At 38.1% G+C, this 9,982-nt stretch overlaps 1 annotated feature.

Moving 5' to 3' along the window:
• Positions 1 to 9,982: part of a centromere (Linear centromere model derived predominantly from reads generated in PMID: 17803354. This region does not represent an actual centromere sequence, as long-range ordering of repeats and unmapped WGS contigs is not provided by the model. For details of model production, see http://arxiv.org/abs/1307.0035.) that runs on past both edges of the window.

Genomic DNA, 9,982 nt, shown 5'->3' on the forward strand with positions numbered 1-9,982 from the left:
ATTTCTAGTTCTAGACCCTGAGGAATCGCCACACTGCACTTCCACAATGGTTGAACTAGTTTAAAGTCCCACCAACAGTGTAAAAGTGTTCCTATTTCTCCGCATCCTCTCCAGCACCTTTTTTGTAGTATCTGGAAGTGGACATTTGGAGAGTTCTCAGGAATACGGTGAAAAAGGAAATATCTTCCAATAAAAGCTAGATAGAAGAGCAATGTCAGAAACTTTTTCATGATGTATCTACTCAGCTAAAAGAGTTGAACCTTTCTTTTGAAAGAGCAGTTTTGAAACACTCTTTTTGTGGAATCTGCAAGTGGATATTTGTCTAGCTTTGAGGATTTCGTTGGAAACGGGATTACATATAAAAAGCAGACAGCAGCATTCCCAGAAACTTCTTTGTGAAGTTTGCATTCAAGTCACAGAGTTGAACATTCCCTTTCATAGAGCAGGTTTGAAACACTCTTTTTGTAGTATCTGTATGTGGACATTTGCAGCGCTTTCAGGCCTATGGTGAAAAAGGAAATATCTTCCCCTGAAAACTAGACAGAAGCATTCTCAGAAACTTATTTGTGATGTGCGCCCTCAACTAACAATGTTGAACCTTTCTTTTGATAGAGTAGTTTTGAAACACTCTTTTTGTAAAATCTGCAAGAGGATATTTGGATAGCTTTGAGGATTTCGTTGGAAACGGGATTGTCTTCATATAAACTCTAGAAAGTAGCATTCTCAGAAGCGTCATTGGGATGTTTCAATTGAAGTCACAGTGTTGAACAGTCCCTTTCATAGAGCAGGTTTGAAACACTCTTTTTGTAGTATCTGGATGTGGACATTTGGAGCGCTTTCAGGCCTATGGTTTAAAAGGAAATATCTTCCCCTGAAAACTAGACAGAAGCATTCTCAAAATCTTATTTGTGATGTGCGCCCTCAACTAACAGTGTTGAAGCTTTCTTTTGATAGAGCAGTTTTGAAACACTCTTTTTGTGGAATCTGTAAGTGGATATTTGTCTAGCTTTGAGGATTTCGTTGGAAACGGGATTACATATAAAAAGCAGACAGCAGCATTCTCAGAAACTTATTTGTGATGTGCGCCCTCAACTAACAGTGTTGAAGCTTTCTTTTGATAGAGCAGTTTTGAAACACTCTTTTTGTAATATCTGCAAGAGGATATTTGGATAGCTTTGAGGATTTCGTTGGAAACGGGATTAATTATACAAAGCAGACAGCAGCATTCTCAGTAACTTCATTGGGATGTTTCAATTGAAGTCACAGTGTTGAACAGTCCCTTTCATAGAGCAGGTTTGAGACACTCTTTTTGTAGTATCTGGAAGTGGACATTTGGAGCGCTGTCAGGACTACGGTGAAAAAGGAAATATCTTCCAATAAAAGCTAGATAGAAGCAATGTCAGAAAATTTGTCATGATGTATCTACTCAGCTAACAGAGTTGAACCTTTCTCTTGAGAGAGCAGTTTTGAAACACTCTTTTTGTGGAATCTGCAAGTGGATATTTGTCTAGATTTGAGGATTTCGTTGGAAACGGGATTACATATAAAAGCAGAGAGCAGCATTCTCAGAAACTTCTTTGTGATGTTTGCATTCAAGTCACAGATTTGAACATTCCCTTTCATAGAGCAGGTTTGAAACACTCTTTTTGTAGTATCTGGAAGTGGACATTTAGAGTGCTCTCAGGACTACGGTGAAAAAGGAAATATCTTCCAATAAAAGCTACATAGAAGCATTCTCAGAATCTTATTTGTGATGTGCGCCCTCAACTAACAGTGTTGAAGCTTTCTTTTGATAGAGCAGTTTTGAAACACTCTTTTTGTAAAATCTGCAAGAGGAAATTTGGATAGCTTTGAGGATTTCGTTGGAAACGGGATTGTCTTCATATAAACTCTAGACAGAAGCATTCTCAGAAGCGTCATTGGGATGTTTCAATTGAAGTCACAGTGTTGAACAGTCCCTTTCATAGAGCAGGTTTGAAACACTCTTTTTGTAGTATCTGGATGTGGACATTTGGAGCGCTTTCAGGCCTATGGTTTAAAAGGAAATATCTTCCCCTGAAAACTAGACAGAAGCATTCTCAGAAACTTATTTGTGATTTGCGCCCTCAACTAACAGTGTTGAAGCTTTCTTTTGATAGAGCAGTTTTGAAACACTCTTTTTGTGGAATCTGCAAGGGGATATTTGTCTAGCTTTGAGGATTTCGTTGGAAACGGGATTACATATAAAAAGCAGACAGCAGCATTCTCAGAAACTTATTTGTGATGTGCGCCCTCAACTAACAGTGTTGAAGCTTTCTTTTGATAGAGCAGTTTTGAAACACTCTTTTTGTAATATCTGCAAGAGGATATTTGGATAGCTTTGAGGATTTCGTTGGAAACGGGATTAATTATACAAAGCAGACAGCAGCATTCTCAGAAGCTTCATTGGGATGTTTCAGTTGAAGTCACAGTGTTGAACAGTCCCTTTCATAGAGCAGGTTTGAAACACTCTTTTTGTAGTATCTGGAAGTGGACATTTGGAGCGCTCTCAGGACTGCGGTGAAAAAGGAAATATCGTCCAATAAAAGCTACATAGAAGCAATGTCAGAAACTTTTTCATGATGTATCTACTCAGCTAACAGAGTTGAACCTTTCTTTTGAGAGAGCAGTTTTGAAACACTCTTTTTGTGGAATCTGCAAGTGGATATTTTGTCTAGCTTTGAGGATTTCGTTGGAAACGGGATTACATATAAAAAGCAGACAGCAGCATTCCCAGAAACTTTTTTGTGATGTTTGCATTCAAGTCACAGAGTTGAACATTCCCTTTCATAGAGCAGGTTTGAAACACTCTTTTTGTAGTATCTGGATGTGGATATTTGGATCGCTTTCAGGCCTATGGTGAATAAGGAAATATCTTCCCCTGAAAACTAGACAGAAGCATTCTCAGAAACTTATTTGTGATGTGCGCCGTCAACTAACAGTGTTGAACCTTTCTTTTGATAGAGTAGTTTTGAAACACTCTTTTTGTAAAATCTGCAAGAGGATATTTGGATAGCTTTGAGTATTTCGTTGGAAACGGGATTGTCTTCATATAAACTCTAGACAGTAGCATTCTCAGAAGCTTCATTGGGATGTTTCAATTGAAGTCACAGTGTTGAACAGTCCCTTTCATAGAGCAGGTTTGAAACACTCTTTTTGTAGTATCTGGATGTGGACATTTGGAGCGCTTTCAGGCCTATGGTGAAAAAGGAAATATCTTCCCCTGAAAACTAGACAGAAGCATTCTCAGAAACTTATTTGTGATGTGCGCCTTCAACTAACAGTGTTGAAGCATTCTTTTGATAGAGCAGTTTTGAAACACTCTTTTTGTGGAATCTGCAAGTGGATATTTGTCTAGCTTTGAGGATTTCGTTGGAAACGGGATTACATATAAAAAGCAGACAGCAGCATTCTCAGTAAACTTATTTGTGATGTGCGCCCTCAACTAACAGTGTTGAACCTTTCTTTTGATAGAGCAGTTTTGAAACACTCTTTTTGTAATATCTGCAAGAGGATATTTGGATAGCTTTGAGGATTTCGTTGGAAACGGGATTGTCTTCATATAAACTCTAGACAGAAGCATTCTCAGAAGCTTCATTGGGATGTTTCAATTGAAGTCACAGTGTTGAACAGTCCCTTTCATAGAGCAGGTTTGAAACACTCTTTTTGTAGTATCTGGAAGTGGACATTTGGAACGCTCTCAGGACTGCGGTGAAAAAGGAAATATCTTCCAATAAAAGCTAGATAGAAGCAATGTCAGAAACTTTTTCATGATGTATCTACTCAGCTAACAGAGTTGAACCTTTCTTTTGAGAGAGCAGTTTTGAAACACTCTTTTTGTGGAATCTGCAAGTGGATATTTGTCTAGCTTTGAGGACTTCCTTGGAAACGGGATTACATATAAAAAGCAGACAGCAGCATTCCCAGAATCTTGTTTGTGATGTTTGCATTCAAGTCACAGAGTTGAACATTCCCTTTCAGAGAGCATGTTTGAAACACTCTTTTTATAGTGTCTGGATGTGGACATTTGGAGCGCTTTCAGGCCTATGGTGAAAAAGGAAATATCTTCTCCTGTAAACTAGACAGAAGCATTCTCAGAAACTTATTTGTGATGTGCGCCCTCAACTAACGGTGTTGAACCTTTCTTTTGAAAGAGCAGTTTTGAAACACTCTTTTTGTAAAATCTGCAATAGGATATTTGGATAGCTTTGAGGATTTCGTTGGAAACGGGATTGTCTTCATATAGAATCTAGACAGAAGCATTCTCAGAAGCTTCATTGGGATGTTTCAATTGAAGTCACAGTGTTGAACAGTCCCTTTCATAGAGCAGGTTTGAAACACTCTTTTTGTAGTATCTGGAGGTGGACATTTGGAGCGTTCTCAGGACTACGGTGAAAAAGGAAATATCTTCCAATAAAAGCTAGATAGAAGCATTCTCAGAAACTTATTTGTGATGTGCGCCCTCAACTAACAGTGTTGAAGCTTTCTTTTGATAGAGCAGTTTTGAAACACTCTTTTTGTGGAATCTGCAAGTGGATATTTGTCTAGCTTTGAGGATTTCGTTGGAAACGGGATTACATATAAAAAGCAGACAGCAGCATTCTCAGTAAACTTATTTGTGATGTGCGCCCTCAACTAACAGTGTTGAACCTTTCTTTTGATAGAGCAGTTTTGAAACACTCTTTTTGTAATATCTGCAAGAGGATATTTGGATAGCTTTGAGGATTTCGTTGGAAACGGGATTGTCTTCATATAAACTCTAGACAGAAGCATTCTCAGAAACTTCATTGGGATGTTTCAATTGAAGTCACAGTGTTGAACAGTCCCTTTCATAGTGCAGGTTTGAAACACTCTTTTTGTAGTATCTGGAAGTGGACATTTTGAGCGCTCTCAGGACTTCGGTGAAAAAGGAAATATCTTCCAATAAAAGCCAAATAGAAGCAATGTCAGAAACTTTTTCATGATGTATCTACTCAGCTAACAGAGTTTAACCTTTCTTTTGAGAGAGCAGTTTTGAAACATTCTTTTTGTGGAATCTGCAATTGGATATTTCTCTAGCTTTGAGGATTTCGTTGGAAACGGGATAACATATAAAAAGCTACAGCAGCATTCCCAGAAACTTCTTTGTGATGTTTGCATTCAAGTCACAGAGTTCTACATTCCCTTTCATAGAGCAGGTTTGAAACACTCTTTTTGTAGTATCTGGAAGTGGACATTTAGAGCGCTCTCAAAACTATGGTGAAAAAGGAAATATCTTCCAATAAAAGCTAGATAGAAGCATTCTCAGAAACTTATTTGTGATGTGCGCCCTCAACTAACAGTGTTGAAGCTTTCTTTTGATAGAGCAGTTTTGAAACACTCTTTTTGTAAAATCTGCAAGAGGATATTTGGATAGCTTTGAGGATTTCGTTGGAAACGGGATTGTCTTCATATAAACTCTAGACAGAAGCATTCTCAGAAGCTTCATTGGGATGTTTCAATTGAAGTCACAGTGTTGAACAGTCCCTTTCATAGAACAGGTTTGAAACACTCTTTTTGTAGTATCTGGATGTGGACATTTGGAGCGCTTTCAGGCCTACGGTGAAAAAGGAAATATCTTCCCCTGAAAACTAGACAGAAGCATTCTCAGAAACTTATTTGTGATGTGCGCCCTCAACTAACAGTGTTGAACCTTTCTTTTGATAGAGCAGTTTTGAAACACTCTTTTTGTAATATCTGCAAGAGGATATTTGGATAGCTTTGAGGATTTCGTTGGAAACGGGATTAATTATAAAAAGCAGACAGCAGCATTCTCAGTAAACTTATTTGTGATGTGCGCCCTCAACTAACAGTGTTGAACCTTTCTTTTGATAGAGCAGTTTTGAAACACTCTTTTTGTAATATCTGCAAGAGGATATTTGGATAGCTTTGAGGATTTCGTTGGAAACGGGATTGTCTTCATATAAACTCTAGACAGAAGCATTCTCAGAAGCTTCATTGGGATGTTTCAATTGAAGTCACAGTGTTGAACAGTCCCTTTCATAGAGCAGGTTTGAAACACTCTTTTTGTATCATCTGGAAGTGGACATTTGGAGCGTTCTCAGGACTACGGTGAAAAAGGAAATATCTTCCAATAAAAGCTAGATAGAAGCAATGTCAGAAAATTTTTCATGATGTATCTACTCAGCTAACAGAGTTGAACCTTTCTTTTGAGAGAGCAGTTTTGAAACACTCTTTTGGTGGAATCTGCAAGTGGATATTTGTCTAGCTTTGAGGATATCGTTGGAAACGGGATTACATATAAAAAGCAGACAGCAGCATTCCCAGAAACTTCTTTGTGATGTTTGCATTCAAGTCACAGAGTTGAACATTCCCTTTCATAGAGCAGGTTTGAAACACTCTTTTTGTAGTATCTGGAAGTGGACATTTGGAGCGCTCTCAGGACTACGGTGAAAAAGGAAATATCTTCCAATAAAAGCTAGATAGAAGCAATGTCAGAAACATTTTCATGATGTATCTACTCAGCTAACAGAGTTGAACCTTTCTTTTGAGAGAGCAGTTTTGAAACACTGTTTTTGTGGAATCTGCAAGTGGATATTTGTCTAGCTTTGAGGATTTCGTTGGAAACGGTATTACATATAAAAAGCAGACAGCAGCATTCCCAGAAACTTCTTTGTGATGTTTGCATTCAAGTCACAGAGTTGAACATTCCCTTTCATAGAGCAGGTTTGAAACACTCTTTTTGTAGTATCTGGATGTGGACATTTGGAGCGCTTTCAGGCCTATGGTGAAAAAGGAAATATCTTCCCCTGAAAACTAGACAGAAGCATTCTCAGAAACTTATTTGTGATGTGCGCCCTCAACTAACAGTGTTAAACCTTTCTTTTGATAGAGTAGTTTTGAAACACTCTTTTTGTAACATCTGCAAGAGGATATTTGGATAGCTTTGAGGATTTCGTTGGAAACGGGATTGTCTTCATATAAACTCTAGACAGTAGCATTCTCAGAAGCTTCATTGGGATGTTTCAATTGAAGTCACAGTGTTGAACATTCCCTTTCATAGAGCAGGTTTGAAACACTCTTTTTGTAGTATCTGGATGTGGACATTTGGAGCGCTTTCAGGCCTATGGTTTAAAAGGAAATATCTTCCCCTGAAAACTAGACAGAAGCATTCTCAGAAACTTATTTGTGATGTGCGCCCTCAACTAACAGTGTTGAACCTTTCTTTTGATAGAGCAGTTTTGAAACACTCTTTTTGTAATATCTGCAAGAGGATATTTGGATAGCTTTGAGGATTTCGTTGGAAACGGGATTACATATAAAAAGCAGACAGCAGCATTCTCAGAAACTTATTTGTGATGTGCGCCCTCAACTAACAGTGTTGAAGCTTTATTTTGATAGAGCAGTTTTGAAACACTCTTTTTGTAATATCTGCAAGAGAATATTTGGATAGCTTTGAGGATTTCGTTGGAAACGGGATTGTCTTCATATAAACTCTAGAAAGAAGCATTCTCAGAAGCTTCATTGGGATGTTTCAACTGAAGTCACAGTGTTGAACAGTACCTTTCATAGAGCAGGTTTGAAACACTCTTTTTGTAGTATCTGGAAGTGGACATTTGGAGCGCTCTCAGGACTACGGTGAAAAAGGAAATATCTTCCAATAAAAGCTAGATAGAAGCAATGTCAGAAACTTTTTCATGATGTATCTACTCACCTAACAGAGTTGAACCTTTCTTTTGAGAGAGCAGTTTTGAAACACTCTTTTTGTGGAATCTGCAAGAGGATACTTGTCTAGCTTTGAGGATTTCGTTGGAAACGGGATTACATATAAAAAGCAGACAGCAGCATTCCCAGTAATCTTCTTTGTGATGTTTGCATTCAAGTCACAGAGTTGAACATTCCCTTTCATAGAGCAGGTTTGAAACACTCTTTTTGTAGTATCTCGATGTGGACATTTGGAGCGCTTTCAGGCCTATGGTGAAAAAGGAAATATCTTCTCCTGAAAACTAGACAGAAGCATTCTCAGAATCTTATTTGTGATGTGCGCCCTCAACTAACAGTGTTGAAGCTTACTTTTGATAGAGCAGTTTTGAAACACTCTTTTTGTAAAATCTGCAAGAGGATATTTGGATAGCTTTGAGGATTTCGTTGGAAACGGGGTTGTCTTCATATAAACTCTAGACAGAAGCATTCTCAGAAGCTTCATTGGGATGTTTCAATTGAAGTCACAGTGTTGAACAGTCCCTTTCATAGAGCAGGTTTGAAACACTCTTTTTGTAGTATCTGGAAGTGGACATTTGGAGCGCTCTCAGGACTACGGTGAAAAAGGAAATATCTTCCAATAAAAGCTACATAGAAGCAATGTCAGAAACTTTTTCATGATGTATCTACTCAGCTAACAGAGTTGAACCTTTCTTTTGAGAGAGCAGTTTTGAAACACTCTTTTTGTGGAATCTGCAAGTGGATATTTGTCTAGCATTGAGGATTTCGTTGGAAACGGGATTACATATAAAAAGCAGACAGCAGCATTCCCAGAAACTTCTTTGTGATGTTTGCATTCAAGTCACAGAGTTGAACATTCCCTTTCATAGAGCAGGTTTGAAACACTCTTTTTGTAGTATCTGGATGTGGACATTTGGAGCGCTTTCAGGCCTATGGTGAAAAAGGAAATATCTTCCCCTGAAAACTAGACAGAAGCATTCTCAGAAACTTATTTCTGATGTGCGCCCTCAACTAACAGTGTTAAACCTTTCTTTTGATAGAGTAGTTTTGAAACACTCTTTGTAAAATCTGCAAGAGGATATTTTGATAGCTTTGAGGATTTCTTTGGAAACGGGATTGTCTTCATATAAAATCTAGACAGAAGCATTCTCAGAAGCTTCATTGGGATGTTTCAATTGAAGTCACAGTGTTGAACAGTCCCTTTCATAGAGCAGGTTTGAAACACTCTTTTTGTAGTATCTGGATGTGGACATTTCGAGCGCTTTCAGGCCTATGGTGAAAAAGGAAATATCTTCCCCTGAAAACTAGACAGAAGCATTCTCAGAAACTTATTTGTGATGTGCGCCCTCAACTAACAGTGTTGAAGCATTCTTTTGATAGAGCAGTTTTGAAACACTCTTTTTGTGGAATCTGCAAGTGGATATTTGTCTAGCTTTGAGGATTTCGTTGGAAACGGGATTACATATAAAAAGCAGACAGCAGCATTCTCAGAAACTTATTTGTGATGTGCGCCCTCAACTAACAGTGTTGAAGCTTTATTTTGATAGAGCAGTTTTGAAACACTCTTTTTGTAATATCTGCAAGAGAATATTTGGATAGCTTTGAGGATTTCGTTGGAAACGGGATTGTCTTCATATAAACTCTAGAAAGAAGCAGTCTCAGAAGCTTCATTGGGATGTTTCAATTGAAGTCACAGTGTTCAACAGTCCCTTTCATAGAGCAGGTTTGAAACACTCTTTTTGTAGTATCTGGAAGTGGACATTTGGAGAGATCTCAGGAATACGGTGATAAAGGAAATATCTTCCAATAAAAGCTAGATAGAAGCAATGTCAGAAACTTTTTCATGATGTATCTACTCAGCTAACAGAGTTGAACCTTTCTTTTGAGAGAGCAGTTTTGAAACACTCTTTTTGTGGAATCTGCAAGTGGATATTTGTCTAGCTTTGAGGATTTCGTTGGAAACAGGATTGTCTTCATATAAACTCTAGACAGAAGCATTCCCAGAAACTTCTTTGTGATGTTTGCATTCAAGTCACAGAGTTGAACATTCCCTTTCATAGAGCAGGTTTGAAACACTCTTTTTGTAGTATCTGGATGTGGACATTTGGAGCGCTCTCAGGCCTATGGTGAAAAAGGAAATATCTTCCCCTGCAAACTAGACAGAAGCATTCTCAGAAACTTATTTGTGATGTGCGCCCTCAACTAACAGTGTTGAAGCTTTCTTTTGATAGAGCAGTTTTGAAACACTCTTTTTGTAATATCT

The sequence above is a fragment of the Homo sapiens genome, chromosome 2 (assembly GCF_000001405.40).
Source record: "Homo sapiens chromosome 2, GRCh38.p14 Primary Assembly".
Taxonomy (NCBI): Eukaryota; Metazoa; Chordata; class Mammalia; order Primates; family Hominidae; genus Homo; species Homo sapiens.